General features: G+C 35.0%; 1 protein-coding gene across 3 annotated transcripts in view; it reads left to right on the top strand.

Annotated features, from left to right (window-relative positions):
- The window catches only part of BMP5 (bone morphogenetic protein 5), a 121,938-nt gene extending 117,790 nt beyond the window's left edge, over positions 1–4,148 (top strand). For all 3 annotated transcript variants that reach the window (NM_001329756.2, NM_001329754.2, NM_021073.4), the window contains one exon: positions 2,119–4,148. In NM_001329756.2, the coding sequence (NP_001316685.1) occupies positions 2,119–2,138 (20 nt within the window). In that variant the 3' untranslated portion in view covers positions 2,139–4,148. The remainder of the gene's footprint in view (positions 1–2,118) is intronic.
- The last annotated feature ends 16,161 nt before the right edge of the window (positions 4,149–20,309 follow it).

Genomic DNA, 20,309 nt, shown 5'->3' with positions numbered 1-20,309 from the left:
AACCTTGGGCTAGAGAGCAACAGAAAGATAAAGCAAATATACATTTTGATAATAAATTATTTATAAGTATTCTTCTTTTTATTGATTCATGACCAGTGAGAATGCCTACTTTAGTGCCATATACAAGGTAAAGAGTAAATTTCTGGGGGGATTTAAAGTCTGATATGACTTCACCTTTGCTATCTGTAAGTATAAGCTCTTCTTTATATGGAATAGTGTTTCCAGGAGTATGGAGTGTAGGTAGGCTTTGCAAGGATGGATGTTTTGCATTCAAACTTCTACCACTAAAAGAATTTTTAAGAAGCTAACTTTTCTCTTTGTATATGAGAATTCATGTTGACATGAAAGCATATCAGATAAAGAAGAATGCTGTTGTTTCATCCTATGAAGAGAACTTCATGATCACTGTCTTTCTGTAAGGTCATAGAATAACTCCTATCAGTTGAAGTAATGCTATTTAATTTCTCAGAAAATTCTTTGCCTCTTTTTATCATCATTTTGATGACTATGAAAGCAGACTTTTGCTTCCTTAGATATGGATCTAATGTATCAAAAATTCCCTCAGGCTAAGCAATGCCTACTTATTGAAAAATACCCTTTGTCAAATACTCCCCCTTCTCTCATTTTTTCTTTTTTAAAATAAATAAATACATATTTTCAGCTCTTATGGCTGTAGTAAAGTATCAAAAAACAAATATAAAAAAAATCTGACACAAACTTTGAACAAGAGTCTGCTCTGTATCTCTACCCTGGGATGTAGGACATAAGTCATTGCAAAACTGGAGCATACACGTGAAGTTTGATTTTTTTTCCCTGGTGTTGTGCACGCTTTATGTTTGTTCTGTGAAGGACATGAAACAAAAAGACGGAGGAAAGCATGTTTGTGACTAATATATTGAGAAACCATTCAAGAACAATCCATTTTTTTTCCGTTAGGCTGCCAAGGCCATTGAAACAGCAGGATTATCAATCATGTATGTGTGGGTTATGGAAGATAAAGCTGATGAAGGACATAAGCAGCATCAGAAATTTGTAGAAACTATCCAACTTTTAGTTTTGTGAGGCCTTAGGAAATTTCAAGTTCATGTCAGATCACCTCATTTTTCCTGCTGTTTCTGTCCACATGCAAGGCCCCTATATCATTTCAGCCAGGACGTTGTACAGCCAAAACTGTAAGAGGCTGTATTTGCTTTTTGTGGATCCCGTAAGACTCATCAGTGGGATTTCCCATAAACTCCTCTGGGGGAAGGGCCAGAATAGGTGGGTGGGAAATGGGGGAACTGTGTTCTGGCTCTTTTCTCAATTATTTCAAATCATAGGCAGACTGCCAGTCTGATCAAAATTATTATCAACCCTTTACTTAAGCATTTCACTTTTCATGTACAGACACCTTTTTAGGCTTTTGGGGAGGTGGATGTTCATTTGTAAAGTCTCTAGGCCCTTTGCTTCTGATTTAGCTTAGCCTGCTTTTTGGCACTTGTCTAGGGGGCAGGCAAGGGAGAAAAAAAGTAAATGGATATTAAACTCCAGCCAATGTGATAAAAAAATTCTATGAAGAGCTGAAATCATTGCTCTAAGGCAAGTATTGGATTATATGTGGATTTTATTTTATTATGATTTTTATGCTTCTTTTACCATGGAAAATTAAGAGTTGGCTTAAAATGTATGATTTATTGCTTAATTTTCCTTTTAAAAGATAATTCTTAGATCCAAATCTTTCTGCAACTATGTGTTTTCATTGATTTGCTCTTGTAACTTCCATATTCCTCATGATATATATAGGAACAGTTATTTCAACTAAAAGCAACAACGTGCTAGTTGCTGTGTTCTTTCCCTAGGAAAACTTCCACTGAATATTCTATAGAGGAAGTTTTCTTTATTTGGTGAGATATTTTTCAAGGTTCAAACACATAATTGAATTGGCTGGGTTGATTCCAGGTGTTAATGCTTAAGAATACATCCTTCAGTCCCCCACCCCAGTCATGGAATAAATGGGAGAAGGGAGATCAGCTTAATGGTGTGCCTGATTATGAGTGATAAAATAATCATACCATTTTAAAACTGCAAAAGAATGTATATTTTATTTCTTAATAAAACAAAACCTTTTTTCTTTCCCAGGTTCATCTGATGTTTCCTGACCACGTACCAAAGCCTTGTTGTGCTCCAACCAAATTAAATGCCATCTCTGTTCTGTACTTTGATGACAGCTCCAATGTCATTTTGAAAAAATATAGAAATATGGTAGTACGCTCATGTGGCTGCCACTAATATTAAATAATATTGATAATAACAAAAAGATCTGTATTAAGGTTTATGGCTGCAATAAAAAGCATACTTTCAGACAAACGGGGAATTTCCTAAAATTAGTCTGGCTCATTTTGACTCTTTTCCTATGTACAATATCATGTATATAGTCATTTTTATTTATTTAAACGTATATATTCTCTTCTGTGGAGGCTTTATCAATAAAATCTATTTCATAGGCCACTACATTATACAATAGATCATCTAGTATAATTTTCAATGGGTTATGCTGAGTCCATTCAATTCCATTTCAACATTTTTTTCTAATACAATTTTACATAATTTTCTGAGATTAGACAGAACTCCTTTGACTGTTTAATATTGTGGAAGGAAATTGAATAATTTAGTTATATTGTGCCAATGAAAACCATGATAGAATATTTATTTAGAAATAAGACTTAAAAAAATAACAACCCAAACAAAAATTCTTGGATAAACACAATTTCTCTTTTAGAGTTCCTGCTTCATTAGATAAAGTGAAATGTTGAACTGGATTTGAATAAATAAACGGTAGGCAGAACATAGAAGCTGAAAGATTGCACAGAATTGTTTTAACTGTTTGCTTTAACAGAAGTGGTGTAACTGTAGGAGCATGTTCCTTTTTGGCTTGTGGATTGTAGATTTTGCAAAGAGCTCAAAGCTTCAGGAGACAGGCTTGAGCCTGTGTCCATAGCTTTCCAAGTTAACACTAATTGTAGTACAACCTTCTTACCTCAAATAAATCATGTCTGCCTATTATCTAGAACACTACTGCTGCAGAATTTTTTTTTCAGATTTAAAAACCTAGTCCAAAATAAAGAAACATTTACATGTGCTCCACTTTCCTCCCCACAGGCAAGAGTCACTGCATGCGTAAAATGTACAAGAGCAGAAGATGCCGAAAGAACCATTTTCTTTAGCTCTCCTTTATAACTGAGTTTGCTGATTGATGTGATGCAAGGGATTTTATTTAGAAGTAAAAGCACTGAAACTAAACTGGAGGAAATTACCAAAAGTCCCAGAATGGCTTTGACAGAATTGCCATTTCTAAAGAACAGCTGAAATTCATTTTTCATATCTTTGAGAGTGAGCTCAATGAAAACCTTATTTTGTAAAGGCATTTTGTAAACCTTCTTCCAAGCACAAATAATTCCAAACAGGAAGGTTCTGTTGTGTGTGTGTGTGTGTGTGTGTCTGTGTGTGCATGTGTGTTCTTCCCTCTAAAATTAATTTATTTTCTCTATCTATTAGAATGCCCTCTAAGGCCTTTCTTTAACACACACTGACTTTTTGAAGAATGATCTTTAGATTGATAACTTGCTATTTATGGTGACTCTGTGGTTAGGCTTATTTACCGTTAATCTAAAGTATTCATAAAGCACCATTTATTAATCATCCTTTTGGATCTTTCAAACCAAACGTATACCAAAAATGTCTTCAAAAATGTTATGGCTTTGTTTGTAATTCGGGTATATTAAAATGTTGTTTTGAAATACAGTTTATCTTAAAGAAAATTTGACAGTAACTATATTAAGGGGTACATTAAGTAATATATTTTTAATTAATGGTGTACCATTGAGAGAATAAGAAATGGAAGTCTATTGTTTTATTCTTTAAATGTGCTGTTTAAATATATTTCCATATTTTAAAATATATTAAACAGATGCTAATTTCTGCTGTTCTTGATTTGGTTCTTTATTTAAAAGGAATACAAAATGTAAGTATATCATAAATTGAGACAATAAGAATATTTATCAAATGTAAACTGTTTGTGGATCACATGATTCTTTATGTTGTTCTTAATTGCCAAAATTGTTTTTTGTGTTGTTAATAATTATCTCACTATTAAATGTGCAAAGCAACAATCCATGAATTAAAGATTTTCTTAATCTGTTCAAACAACAAATTTTAAAAATAGCAAAAAATAATTAGAATGGAGAAATACCTCATTTGTTCTTTTTCATATGAGAAGGGAGGTAATTGGCATCAGTGCTTTTGCATTTTCTAAAATTACATATGTGTAGCATAATACGCACATATACTTGGTCACATTAGTTTCTAATAACTATTACAGTAAACTCTTAGTATCACCTTGGTGATACTCAAGCTCTTACTAGACACCAGAATAATTTGACCTATTTTAACAGGTCTTCATTCAGGTCTTTTTAGTTCGTTAATGATGTACTCACTTTTTTGATTGTTTATTTTTAATTTTTCTGTTTTATACTTGTTTTTACTTTGTAAAGTGGCCATAATCCTTTTTGGAAATAGAAGGGCATAAATCATAAATATTCAAATTCTTTAAAACTAAGGCAAAAATAGTCTACATTAAACTAAAGAAATTAAGAAAACACAGGCAGAAAATCCAAAATTATTTTTTTCTCAACTAAGAACTGTCATTTTATAATCCTAGTATCATCATCATCAAACCCAAGCCAGAGTCTACTGGGTACTTCACAAGCTGGCAGATATCATCTCCCAAGACATTTACAATGAATAATTAGCTTATGTTCCAGTTCCATTCAAGGCAGAAGAAATCCTCATTCCCAAACACAAGTAACCATCTCATAACCATTCAGTCCAGTGCTCAATCTATTATCTAATTTCCATCTCAGATTACCTATTTTTCCTTTCACAATTTTTTTTTTGGTCTGGAATTTTTTAAAGTTAGAAGTGAAGATGCCTTTGCTGATAAAGCATAAAAATTGTTGGTATACAGGTATACATCTGTGTTTTATCAAGTTTCTTTAAGATCATAATTGAAGAGAAAGTACAAAAAGTAACAATCAATGTCAATGCTTATTTAAGTAGAAAATGATGCTATATCCAAGTTAGCAATTTTAAAAAAATAGCAAAGGCTCTGCAAAATTTTAAAAGTCTATTGTGATATTTGTTAAAGGCTGTTTTAAATACAGAGATTTCAAAGACAGGAAAAGTCACATCAGATACAGCCTTTGAAAATTACAAAGAAATTTCAAAAATTAAAAGCATGTATGTTAACTTTTGCATCCTTGTTTCAACTTCACTAAGGCAGCTAGCCTAAAATCAATTCTGGGCCAGGCGTAGTAGCTCACATTTGTAATCCCAGCACTTTGGGAGGCCGAGGGGGTGGATCACCTGAGGTCAGGAGTTTGAGACCAGACTGACCAACATGGTGAAACTCCATCTCTGCTAAAAATACAAAATTAGCTGAATGTGGTGGCACATGCCTGTAATCCCAGCTACTTGGGAAGTTGAGGCAGGAGAATTGCTTGAACCTGGGAGGCAGAGGTTGCAGTGAGTTGAGATCATACCATTGCACTCCAACGTGGGCAACAAGAGCGAAACTCCATCTCAAAAATCAAATCAAATCAAATCAAATCAAATCTGAAGGGTCAAGGTAGGGGATGGGTAGATACAGTAGAGCCTCAACTTCTGTAAATTATAGAGAAGAGAATAAAGTAGATAATACTGCATAAACAGCCTCAAGAATCAGTCTGGAAACAGGACCTAACCCAAGAGTTTAGTGGGATATAAGCAATATATTTTTCAGTTCATTGTGCATAATACTATATAGTGAAATATAGTAGAACTTACTTAAAAAGCTGGACTATATTTATTTTCTTTCAGGTATCTACAGAAAAAGCTGAGTAGGAGAAAAATTCTCAAACCTGAGCATAAGCCCAATAAGATAGCTTAGACTACATATCACTTTCTCCAATACACACACACACACACACACACACACACACACACACACGTGTGTATAGGGGAGAAATGAGTACTGTATTAGTAGCATTTTCTGATTGCTATTAGCCTGGAGCTTTGGTCAATGACCATTCCATGTGGCAAGAACCAAAGCCTTAGGTCTGTGCAGGGCAGGAGCTCAGATCAGAGCTCAGATTTCAGACTAGAAGTCACACTATGTATGGCATCTACACATACACATATACTTGTGTGCAGTTATGGCATAAATGTAAGTTTTAAAAGTCTCTGATCTGATTAGTGAAGCTGAAAAAGCATTTGAGAGAAGCAAACGCGAAATTTATCTTTTGGAACTTGACGTTCAACCTAGGACTCAAGGAAATCCCACTGAAAATATGCCAAGGAATATAAGCTCACATCAAAACAACCAAAGGAACAAACAAACAAAACAAAAACTATCACAATAAATGTACAAACAAGGCACCATAAGAGCTATAAGAAATAAAAAAGGGTAACACCAAACTCATAAGTGTCCTGTTTACTGAATTATTGGATATAGAATATAAGTAAGTATATTTTATGTGATTTTTCAAAAAGAAAGAATAAGAACGTAAGTATAAACATATTTTAAATGAATATATCGAACATCTAAGAAGAAAAATCTTTAAGCTTTATTGGATGTGATAAATAGTGGTTTTGATATCAGGAACAAGAGAAATAGTGAGCTGGCAGACAGATCTGAAGAAACTATCCAGAAGGCAGCATTAAGCCAGATAAAAAGATGGAAAATCTAACAGAGAACTAAAAGTACATGGGGATTAAAGGAGCTCTAACATTCATCTAATCAGTCTTCCAGAAAATTGGGGACAATTTTTGGGCTAACAGTTGGCTCCTCAATCAAACTGTTTTCTCAACTTAAAAGTCAGTCAACTTGTAATTACTGTCTTTAAATTGATAAGGAAAAATAACTGCCATTTAGAATTCTATATCCAGCAAAACTATCTTCAATAATTAGGGCAAATTAAAATGTTTTTGAGACAATAAAACGAAAATTGAAAAAGAATTTATCATTAATAGCAAAGCCACTGCTAATGGCTATACCTCAGGAAGAAAGAAAATAAACTCCAAAAGGAAATATACGCAAAACTGATAAGAAAAAATAGTAAACATGGGGGATAGATTAAAATAAATAGTATTGTCTAAAAACCATGGTTAAAAAAAGCAGAGTAGAGTTAGAATAGTGTTAAAAGAGTTAAGATAGAGTTTAAAATACAGTGAAACTACGGAATGTATGCAAGAAGGTAGGTAACTGAAAATACATGTTTTGCATTTTACTCGATGATGATGATTAAATTTGATTTGGCCTCAGAATTCATGGTAAAGTTTTAAGTGCAAAGATAAAATACCAGAAAAACAATATATATCTTCTAAATCAGGGTCAGCACACTTTTTCTGTAGAGACCTAACAGTAAATATTTTAGGCTTTGTAGTTTTGTTCCAACTACTTTACTCTGCATCTGTAGTGTGAAAGCAACCATAAACAATACCTAAATGAACGAGTGTAGGTCTATTACAATAAAACTTTATTTACAAAGATGTGTTGGATTGGATTTGGGTCCTTGAATTGTAAACTTTTGACCCCTGTTCTAAACCGGTAATTGCAATGTGATAAAATGCAATTATTTCAACAAAATAAAAAAAAGGAGGAAAAGATAAAAGAGACACATTAAAAGGGAGAAATGTTGCATAGAGTAGTATGATAGAAATAAATCTAGGCTGAGTGTGGTGGCTCGCATCTGTAATTCCAGCATTTGGGAGACCAAGGAGAGAGGATTGTTTGGGCTCAGGAGTTCGAGACCAGCCTGGGCAACATAGTGAGACCCCATCTCTACTTAAAAAAAATAAAATCAGCCTGGCATTGTGGCATGTGCCTGTAGTCCTAGATACATGGGAGGCTAAGGTGGGAGAATGATGTGAGCCTAGGAGATGGAGACTGCAATGCACTATGATCATGCCACTCCTCCCTGGGTGACAGAGTAAGACCCTGACTGCCCCCCCGACCACATCCCCCCCCACACACATCCAGATAAACTCATGAAATTTTAAATGTTTAAGTGTATTGAAAAGTCACTTTTACCATATTAGATTTAAAAATAATAACTTCAACCAGTAGCTACATGCTATTTAAAGACCCAAAACCACAGAAAAGTTTAAAGTAAAATGAAGGGAAATATATATCAGGGCAACAATAGTCAACAACAGAAACAAAAACTCTGACTTAATCATATGTATAAAGTGTGTTCACACTTTAACACAAAACAATCATTACTAGAGACAATGAAGATCAACACATATTGATAAGGTTTTCAATCATCATTATTTTAAGCTTAATAAGCTTAAGTGTACCTAATACTATGTTTTAAAAGTGAATAAATTATAAATTGTTAGAACTATAAGGATAAATCAAAAGTGTACAATTTTAGTGAAGGATTTTTAGCAAACTCTATTATTAATTGATAGATTAACAGAAAAAAGATTACTGAGAATACAGCAGATGCCTTATTAACAAATATGACTTAATGGACATATGTAGAACACGGCAGAATATACATTATTTTCAAGCAAATATGACAGGTGTATTAGTCCGTTCTCACGTTGCTATAAGCACATACCCAGGAATGGGTAATTTATAAAGGAAAGAAGTTTAATGGACTCACAGTTCCACATGGCTGGGGAGGCTTCACAATCATGGAGGAAGATGGAGGAGCAAAGACACGTGTCACATAGTGGCTGGTTATTTGACAATTACTTGTTTTAAAGGTGAAAGTCAACAATATTGTACCAAACAATACATCTTGAGGGCAATAAGCCTTTCTAAGGTGTTCTACTTAGAACTTTAGTTTATTTGAGATGGCAAGCATTTCTCCAAGGATGTCATGATAGAAAGAGGAAATATTTGAAAAATCTTGGCTATTGAACATAGGGGTCCAGTGAATCTCATCTCACACTAACCTTCTATTATTGAGGGCTGTTATTAAGTGAAAATAAGTTTAACTACTCTGTATCGCCCAATGCACCTTGAAAACATTTTTTTTATTCACCAGTAACGTCCTTTCTAAGTTTTGCCTGCTGATATTCTATTGATTCCTAGAGACTTTTCTCATTTGTGAATTCCTTCAAAATGACCAAATACACAAAACCATGTGTATTTAATCCCTCTAATAAATAACTATAGCACTCTTATTTTGATACATGCTTCACATCATACCATTATGTCAGTTACTACAGTTATTTGGAAATATTCTCCCTCTACATTGAGAGATAGGGAAATCTTAGCACGTTCATTAATTTATCAATTCCTTAAAAAGTTATCACAAAGATATTCTCAGAGTTGATGCTCAATAAATGATTTAGAAATAACTGGAAAATGGTCTAATTTACTGTTTAATGGGAAACAGATAGCACATCTAAAAGGAACATCATCAAAATTGAGAAAGTGAGGGGACTAATTTCCTTATTTTAAAACCAATAGATCCCAGTATCTTTCACTTTTAGAGTATGCTAATCTAGATAAAACAAGAAACACAATATGAAACCCACAGGATGATTTCGTTTTTCTAAATTATAAGAGGAGAAAAAAGCTTCCAACCAACGTAGAAAGTGTTGCCTAATTCACATAGTGGTGATACAGAATTGGACATAGAGACAAAATGAATGATTTATGTAGATATCCATGAGAAGGGAGTTTCAGGCAAAGATAGCACCAATTGCAGAAGTATGGTTGGCATATTAGAGACACAGCAAGGAGGCCAGTGTGGCCATGCAGAGTGATTGATGGGAAAAGAGGAAGAACATAAGTGTAGGCTGATAGTAGGCAGCCAGGTTGTATAGGATCTTGAAGGCCACTGGAAGGACTTTGAATTTTTACTCAGCGATGCATAGCCATTTGGAGTTTTTGAGCAGAAGAGGCCATGAGTTGTATTTTAAAAGGAATCTGGCCATGTGAGGAGACTACTTGGTGTTACAGTAAAGGCAGAAAGAAAGGAGGGCAGGTTAGAAGACACTGAAATAAGCCAGGCCTAGAGAATAGGGTAACTTGGACTAGTGTGGTAATGGTAGAGGTGATGAGAGGTAATTGGAATCTGGAAATATTTCACAGGCAGAGTTGATAAGGTGAGTTAATGGGGTGTGAGAAGGGAGCGAATGTGTTATTCCATTCTGCATGGCTCTAAAGAAGTACCTGAGACTGGGTGAATTCTAAAGAAAAGAGGTTTATTTGGCTCATGGTTCTTTAGGCTATACAAACATGGCACCATCTGCTTGGCTTATGGTGAGGGCTTGGGAAGCTTTTACTTATGGCAGAAGGCATAAAGGGGACCCAGCGTGTTACATGGCAAGAGAGGGAGCAAGAGAGAGGAGAGAAAGGTCCCAGACCATTTCAAACAACCAGATCTTGCTTGAACTCAGAACCACCTGGAAGACATCATGCCATTCATGAGGCATCTGCCCTCATGACACAAACCACCCCCCCACAGGTTCCACCTCTAACACTGGGGATCACATTTCAACATGAGATTTGGGGGGACAAACATCCAAAGTGAGTTAAGAACTCCTGTTAATAAGGCTCAAGTAACTAGAAAGAAGGAGGAATCATTTATTAGGTTCTGCATAGGACAGAAAGGAATTGTTCCAAGGAGTTGAGACCTTGGTTATGGGCATGTTAATGTTAGAGTGAGATGCCCGGAAAGCAGTTAGAAATGTAAGTCCTGATGTTGCAGGAGACATATGCGTCAGAGATATAAATCTGTAAGTCATCAGCAAGTAATGGCATTTAAAACCATATACTCAGAAAGATTACTACTGTAGGTGCGAAGTACTGGAAGTAAATAAGAACCCTTCTCCAACTTTTTCTACTCAGCTAAATCACACCAGGGTCTACCTCTGGAAAACAGGTATTGAGGTGGAGTCCATCAGCATAGTGCTGGGGATGTTTCTTATGGAATCACATTATCTCTGTTTAATAAGAAGGGTCATTTGGAAATCTCTATATGTTTTTCAGAAAATAAAATCTAGGTACTAGTTACTAAATGTCTTCACTTGCTGAAACTTTTAGATAGTCCAAGGAGCTTTTGGGAAAATGAATACGGCAGTGAGAAAAAAAAAATGAAGCTAAACATCTGGGAACATTTGTATAACATTTCATTGATGTAAATGCTACATGAAGATGAGTTTTTAATGAAAAACAAACAAAAAAAGTAATATGTATTTTTCACCAATACTGTATATGTGGTGAGAAAAAGGAACTTAAATTGTAGCATAAAAGGTTTAGGAGAGACATAAAGAAGGTTTCTCTGATTTAAAATATCACTGAACATTAAAATGGCTCTCCAAGAAAAGGCTTTGAAAAACCCTTTGCAGAAGAGATGTTAATATTTGATCATCCTCATCTCTCACCATTGACAAGATAGTTCTGCCTTACTTTCGATTAAGTTCCTTTATATATTCTTAAGATTTACTTGATTTATACAGCTTCACTTTGTGCTAAAATTACATCTACTTTCTTTTTGTAAACTTGCTATATTTTTTGCATTAAGACCTAGTTATCAAGAAAGTTGGTTTTCCAAGAATAGTTAGTACTAGTCCAGAAGAATTTGTGTCGTGGGGAAACAATGTTATTAATCCAAACACTTCTAGATGTTGTAGTATTAGTGTGATCATTCTGTAAGTGGAATATATTATTGGGTTAAGATATGTTATTATTAGACAAATAATGTATTCTTTGACAATACTAATTTAATAAAATATGTAGAATTTTTGGATGACTTTTTAAAATCTGTGCTGCTTTCTCTTATTTCAACTTTACTAGTTTTAAACATTAGTACCTCAAACTTTGTCTCTAGAGCCTGAAGAAGTCTTCTAAAATGCTTCATATTTTATCTGTTTTATTATTCAAGGTTTCTAACAGCTCTCATAGGAAATGCTACATCCTAAATAATGTTGTAGGAGTTGATTTGAAAGAGCTTATCCTCTTTCATGGCTGTGTGTTAAACTAGAATGAACACATTGAAGAAGTATGTTTTCTTACTTTTTCTTTCAAGCATCTCCTCATAAGGACATAAAGAGTGCCAAACCATCAATTAGAAAGAAAAATACTTTATCTGTTTTAAAATAATTGTTATCAAGCCAGTTATGGCCAAATAATATATAAAACAATGTTCAACTCCACTAACATTTATGAAAAGACAAATAAATACCAAAGTAATGTCACAATACACACTGGATTGGCAAATAATTTTTAAAGAATGTTTTAACATGGTTGAAGAAAATATTATTATGCATTATTATGTTGCTGGTGGGAGTATAAATTGGTAAAATAATTTTGAAAGCCATTAATATAATAATGTTAAGAAGAACATTCACATACCTACCACCTAGGGATTCCTCTCCTAAATTTTTACCTTGGAACACTTCTGGAGATCTGAACCTAGAAATTATGTGAGAAGGTTTATGACAAAACTCTTTATCTTGGAGAATAATAAATACAGGCATGTATGTTATAACTAAAAATACAGATGTCACACAGATATTGATCTGTAGAAAATGGACAAATATATCACATTATATATCAGTGAAAATAAATTAGTCACAATTCTATAGATGAATCCCACAACATAATGTTTTAGAAATAAAGTATATCATAGAAGATTACATATAGTATGATATACTTTTTATAAACTCAAAATAAAGCAAAACTCAATATTTTAGGCACATATGTATGTACATTAAGGGATAGCAAGGGAATGATTTAAAAATTTTAAAATTCATGATGGTTATCCCAAAATTATGGCACAGTATTTAATAGGTGAGGGAGATATTTATAATGCTACTTCTTAGTATAAATGATAGTTAAAAATCTGATCTTATAAATTTTTAAAAATGTATATGCGATTTTTACCTCAGAGGGAGATAATTACACAAAAACACAGCTACAAGAGGCTCGAACAAATTGAGGGTTATTACTGCAACAATCTATCACATTTATTTTTATATATTACTTTGCATATGTGCAATATTCAATAATAAAAGTGCTTAAATTTTTTAAAAATCAAATGATTAACACCTATGAAGTGATATATGTCAAGACCTCAAGATGTTCAATGGAAGAAGGGTTATTCTGGTTGGCGGGATCAAGTCAGGCTCTGTAGCAGAAAAAACAGTAAATATGGGATTAGAAGATATGCAGGCTTAGGGTTTTTGGAAGTCAGAATGCATTGCAATCTAATAGAAAATATAAGGATAAAGCAAAAAAGGGAAAGGAGTAAGGGGGGATTTGTTTATTTATTTATTTATTTTACTAAAACAACAAGGTTTAAATGACAGCAACAGGAAATAATACCCTGTATGTAGGAAAGAGTCAGATAAAACAGGACATGAATAATAGGAGAAAGGGTTTAAAGTTTGGGCGGCAATTAAAATCATTGAAGAATTGTATTTACGAGAATGACACAGAAAAACGTAAGGAAGAATTTTGTTGTACACTTTCAGTTGTCATTTCAGATCAATTTTTTCTCTTCATTATAGACATATAGCTGACCTATTGGAAACTAGCTGCTTACCTGGCAGCTAGTTCTGGTGCCGTAACTAAGTTCTCACTAAAGAATGGCAGAGGAAGTGTTGTGTGCTATATTTTTTTCATTTGGATAAAAAAAGTTGATTGTTTCTGTTTCCCTACCCTCCTACTGAAATGTGGGATATTTCAGTCAGTGGAGAGAGAGAAAGAGAGAAAGCGGGGGGGAGGGAGAGAGAGACAGAGAGAGAGAGAGAGAGACAGAGAAAGAGAAAGAAAGAGAGAAATACATAGAGTGAGAGAGATTTTTTTCTTACTTTGGCTTCTCTTCATTAGGGCATTCGCCATTGTAGCTAATACAAGTAATCAGGCTGCAGTGTGAAAACATATGTGTATAGTAGGGAACCACAAATCTTGGCAAGAATAACAAAAATGATTTATATGGATGTCAATTATTATATATTTGTAAAGGCTGCATGAAAGACTGTTGAGAAAGGTCTTAGGGTAAGTTTACACATTAAAACTAATTAAAAAGCTGAAGTTCACTAACAATGTCACTACCTTAATTCCAGCCTGTAGTGTTTCTCATCACCCTTACTACAGTATGATGACCTCCTAACAAGCATCCACTTTCATTCTTGTCCATGGCAGATCACCCAAGAATTAGTTAAGTTCTGCCACCAGAATAATTTATCCAAAATGTGACTCGGATTATGTCATTCTCTTGCTTAAAATTCTTCAGTTACTTTCTACCACCTATTTAAAAAAAAATCCTAGATTTCTAACATACAAGACTCAGTGTCCTGGAGTGTGTTTTCTCATTTTTAACTGAGAATAATAACAAAAACTACCTGATTGTTCTTGTGAATATTTGTAATAATATTTTCAAATATAGTTCTTGGCACAAAGAGGAAAATTAGTGAATGGTAGCTATAATTCTGATGGCATGAGAATCTTGCGCAAACTCCATTAAAATTTACCATGGAGTATGACTGTAGGAAGCAAGAAGTTATTAAGGCAAACAAATTGGCTAAGAGAGTTCGCTGCATACAAACCAGCCTTGAAGAAAGCCATTTTAATAATAGAATTAATAGTACAATATCTTTGAGATGATTTTTTGAATAACTGATCAAGTTTCCTGAGTTTCTGATATTATCAGGGTATAATGATATTCTGAAGATAAGTCTTTCTGTAGCATCCTGAACATGTTTGCACAACTTTCCTCCTGAATTCCAGACAGTTCAAGTCCATATTAATCAGGCCAGTGAAAAGAACACGGAGATGGTACTTTATTACCTTCAAATGAAGCTACTTGATTCTTGAAAAATATAGATTACTTATTTTAAAGAAACTGAACATTTTCTTAGCCAAACATTGGTTATTTGCTATTTGGTAATGCATGAGATGGGAAGTCAGAAACCCTAATACTGTAAGATTATTCTTGATTCTTCTTAGGATCCTTGTGAAAGTAATAAGCTCATTATAGAAACTCTGGAATTGGAATCTAAACAATTTCAGGGAGGAGAAATTGTTTAGATAATTGTGGATAAACATCTAAATGTGTTCAAAGTAATTGCTAAAACTATTGAGATTTGTTCATCTTCATTGTTTACCTTCTGTCACATTGCATGTATATAGCCTGTAAGGAAGAATGTTTAAAAATGAGGTGATGTAATAAAGCCGAAAATGTAGAAAGAAAGAAATAGTGTAAATACTACCCTAGCTTTAATTAGAGAATGGATGGGAGACAGGAAGCCAGGTAGGAGAATATCCATTCCCAACACACTTTGTTATTCTTTGCTCTTCGGTTATTGCATTCATACTGTTGTGCACTGGTGTCTACTAAGGCCCTCATTAAAAGGTGATGCTCGAATGTTGGCCTGCAGTACCGCACACATTCCTACAAAGAATGAGCCTCAGACATCACATTCTCCTAAAATACTTCCCCAAATAGGCAGATTGAAAGAGGTATTTTCTGAATGAGGCCTTTGTGAATCAAGAGAGGTTTGATTATATTAAAATTAATTGTGAATGTTTGCATAAGATCGTTAAGTGAGAAATGATATTACATGCGTTCAAAAGCAAATAAAAATTAACAGTGGGAAGTATGATGTCTCTTGGGGCCCATAGAGTTAGAAAAGGCAGCCAGAGGTAAAGCTGGAGGAGACTCTTATGTGCTCCAGGGAGGCTTATGGTATACTGTATTAATAGATCCAGTTGTTTATCATTCCCTGCATCTATACCCTTTGCTATTGAACTTTGAAGTTTCTCTCACTAAAAAGGTGAAGTGTGTTTTTCCACTCCTCGCCTTTGTACTGGACCACATGACTTACTTTATCCAATGGAAGTTTGAAGGGTGTCACATGAATAAATCCTTGAAAAACACTTGTATGATTGTGAGTAATAAGTGATTGTTTGTGGATTCTGCTGTGATTTTAGTGGTTGGTTGTTACACAGCCTTATTGTGGCCTTAGCTTACTGTTACAGAGCTATAAACATAAGTTATTATTTTGCTTCATGAGGTTTCTTCTCATTGTCAGTGGTGAAAGACACTGTTTTTCTTTTTTTGTTTTTCTTTTTAATTTTATTAATATTATACTTTAAGTTTTAGGGTACATGTGCACAACGTGCAGGTTGGTTACATATGTATACATGTGCCATGTTGGTGTGCTGCACCCATTAACTCATCATTTAGCATTAGGTATATCTCCTAATGCTATCCCTTCCCCCTCCCCCCACCCCACAACAGTCCCCGGTGTGTGATGTTCCCCTTCCTGTGTCCATTTGTTCTCATTGTTCAATTCCCGCCCATGAGTGAGAACATGAGGTGTTTGGTTTTTTGTCCTTGCAATAGTTTGCTGAGAATGATGGTTTCCAGTTTCATCTATGTCCCTACAAAGGACATGAACTCATCCTTTTTTTATGGCTGCATAGTATTCCATGGTGTATATGTGCCACATTTTCTTAATCCAGTCTATCATTGTTGGACATTTGGGTTGGTTCCAAGTCTTTGCTATTGTGAATAGTGCTGCAATAAACATACATGTGCATGTGTCTTTATAGGAGCATGATTTATAATCCTTTGGGTATATACCCAGTATTGGGATGGCTGGGTCAAATGGTATTTCTAGTTCTAGATCCTTGAGAAATCTCCACACTGACTTCCACAATGGTTGAACTAGTTTACAGTCCCACCAACAGTGTAAGAGTGTTCCTATTTCTCCACATCCTCTCCAGCACCTGTTGTTTCCTGACTTTTTAATGATAGTCATTCTAACTGGTGTGAGATGGTATCTCATTGTGGTTTTGACTTGCATTTCTCTGATGGCCAGTAATGATGAGCATTTTTTCATGTGTTTTTTGGCTGCATAAATGTCTTCTTTTGAGAATTGTCTGTTCATATCCTTCGCCCATTTTTGATGGGGTTGTTTGTTTTTTTCTTGTAAATTTGTTGGAGTTCATTGTAGATTCTGGATATTAGCCCTTTGTCAGATGAGTAGGTTGCAAAAATTTTCTACCATTCTGTAGGTTGCCTGTTCACTCTGATGGTAGTTTCTTTTGCTGTGCAGAAGCTCTTTAGTTTAATTAGATCCCATTTGTCAATTTTGGCTTTTGTTGCCATTGCTTTTGGTGTTTCAGACATGAAGTCCTTGCCCATGCCTATGTCCTGAATGGTATTGCCTAGGTTTTCTTCTAGGGTTTTTATGGTTTTAGGTCTAACATGTAAGTCTTTAATCCATCTTGAATTAATTTTTGTGTAAGGTATAAGAAAGGGATCCAGTTTCAGCGTTCTACATATGGCTAGCCAGTTTTCCCAGCACCAGTTATTCAATAGGGAATCCTTTCCCCATTTCTTGTTTTTCTCAGGTTTGTCAAAGATCAGATAGTTGTAGATGTACCGCATTATTTCTGAGGGCTCTGTTCTGTTACATTGGTTTATAACTCTGTTTTGGTACCAGTACCATGCTGTTTTGTTTACTGTAGCCTTGCAGTATAGTTTGAAGTCAGGTAGTGTGATGCCTCCAGCTTTGTTCTTTTGGCTTAGGATTGACTTGGCAATGCGGGCTCTTTTTTGGTTCCATATGAACTTTAAAGTAGTTTTTTTTTTCCAATTCTGTGAAGAAAGTCATTGGTAGCTTGATGGGGATGGCATTGAATCTATAAATTACCTTGGGCAGTATGGCCATTTTCACAATATTGACTCTTCCTACTCATGAGCATGGAATGTTCTCCCATTTGTTTGTATCCTCTTTTATTTCGATGAGCAGTGGTTTGTAGTTCTCCTTGAAGAGGTCCTTCACGTCCCTTGTAAGTTGGATTCCTAGGTATTTTATTCTCTTTGAAGCAATTGTGAATAGGAGTTCACTCATGATTTGGCTCTCTGTTTGTCTGATATTGGTGTATAGGAATGCTTGTGATTTTTGCACCTTGATTTTGTATCCTGAGACTTTGCTGAAGTTGCTTATCAGCTTAAGGAGATTTTGGGCTGAGACGATGGGGTTTTCTAGATATACAGTCATGTCATCTGCACACAGGAAAAATTTGACTTCCTCTTTTCCTAATTGAATGCCCTTTATTTCCTTCTCCTACCTGATTGCCCTGGCCAGAACTTCCAATACTATGTTGAATAGGAGTAGTGAGAGAGGACATCCCTGCCTTATGCCAGTTTTCAAAGGGAATGCTTCCAGTTTTTGTCCATTCAGTATGATGTTGGCTGTGGGTTTGTCATAGATAGCTCTTATTATTTTGAGATGCGTCCCATCAATACCTAATTTATTGAGAGTTTTTAGCATGAAGGGTTGTTGAATTTTGTCAAAGGCCTTTTCTGCATCTATTGAGATAATCATGTGGTTTTTGTCTTTGGTTCTGTTTATATGCTGGATTACATTTATTGATTTGCATATGTTGAACCAGCCTTGCATCCCAGGGATGAAGCCCACTTGATCATTGTGGATAAGCTTTCTGATGTGTTGCTGGATTCACTTTGCCAGTATTTTATTGAGGATTTTTGCATCAATGTTCATCAAGGATATTGGTCTAAAATTCTCTTTTTTTGTTGTGTCTCTGCCCGGCTTTGGTATCAGGATGATGCTGGCCTCATAAAATGAGTTAGGGAGGATTTCCTCCTTTTCCATTGATTGGAATAGTTGCAGAAGGAATGGTACCAGCTCCTCCTTGTACCTGTGGTAGAATTCGGCTGTGAATCCATCTGGTCCTGGACTTTTTTTGGTTGGTAGGCTATTAATTATTGCCTCAATTTCAGAGCCTGTTATTGGTCTATTCGGAGATTCAACTTCTTCCTGGTTTAGTCTTGGGAGGGTGTATGTGTTGAAGAATGTATCCATTTCTTCTAGATTTTCTAGTTTATTTGCATAGAGGTGTTTATAGTATTCTCTGATAATAGTTTGTATCTCTGTGGGATCAGTGGTGATATCTCCTTTGTCATTTTTTTATTGAGTCTATTTGATTCTTCTCTCTTTTCTTCTTTATTAGTCTTGCTAGCAGTCTATCAATTTTGTTGATCTTTTCAAAAAACCAGCTCCTGGATTCATTGATTTTTTTGAAGGGTTTTTTGTATCTCTATTTCCTTCAGTTCTGCTCTGATCTTAGTTATTTCTTGCCTTCTGCTAGCTTTTGAAGGTGTTTGCTCTTGCTTCTCTAGTTCTTTTAATTGTGATGTTAGGGTGTCAATTTTAGATCTTTCCTGCTTTCTCTTATGGGCATTTACTGCTATACGTTTCCCTCTACACACTGCTTTGAATGTGTCCCAGAGATTCTGGTATGTTGTGTCTTTTTTCTCGTTGGTTTCAAAGAACATCTTTATTTCTGCCTTCATTTTGTTATGTACCCAGCAGTCATTCAGGAGCAGGTTGTTCAGTTTCCATGTAGTTGAGCAGTTTTGAGTGAGTTTCTTAATCCTGAGTTCTAGTTTGATTTCACTGTGGTCTGAGAGACAGTTATAATTTCTGTTCTTTTACATTTGCTGAGGAGAGCTTTAGTTCCAACTATGTGGTAAATTTTGGAATAAGTGTGGTGTGGTGCTGAGAAGAATGTATATTCTGTTGATTTGGGGTGGAGAGTTCTGTAGATGTCTATTAGGTCTTCTTGGTGCAGAGCTGAGTTCAATTCCTGGATATCCTTGTTAACTTTCTGTCTCATTGATCTGCCTAATGTTGACAGTGGGGTGTTAAAGTCTCCCAACATTATTGTGTGGGAGTCTAAGTCTCTTTGTAGGTCTCTAATGACTTGCTTTATGAATCTAGGTTCTCCTGTATTGGGTGCATATACATTTAGGATAGTTAGCTCTTCTTGTTGAATTGATCCCTTTACCATTATGTAACAGCCTTCTTTGTCTCTTTTGATCTTTGTTGGTTTAAAGTCTGTTGAATCAGAGACTAGGATTGCAACCCCTGCCTTTGTTTTTGATTTGCTTGGTAGATCTTCCTCCATCCCTTTATTTTGGGCCTATGTGTGTCTCTGCACGTGAGATGGGTTTCCTGAATACAGCACACTAATAGGTCTTGACTCTTTATCCAATTTGTCTGTCTGTGTCTTTTAAATGGAGCATTTAGCACATTTACATTTAAGGTTAATATTGTTATGTGTGAATTTGATCCTGTCGTTATGATGTTAGCTGGTTATTTTGCTCATTCGTTGATGCAGTTTCTTCCTAACCTTGATGGTCTTTATAATTTGGCATGTTTTTGCAGTGGCTGGTACCAGTTGTTCCTTTCCATGTTTTGTGCTTCCTTCAGGAGCTCTTGTAATGCAGGCC

Source organism: Homo sapiens, chromosome 6 (genome assembly GCF_000001405.40).
Source record: "Homo sapiens chromosome 6, GRCh38.p14 Primary Assembly".
Lineage (NCBI taxonomy): Eukaryota > Metazoa > Chordata > Mammalia > Primates > Hominidae > Homo > Homo sapiens.
This window is presented reverse-complemented; position numbering and strand designations above follow the sequence as displayed.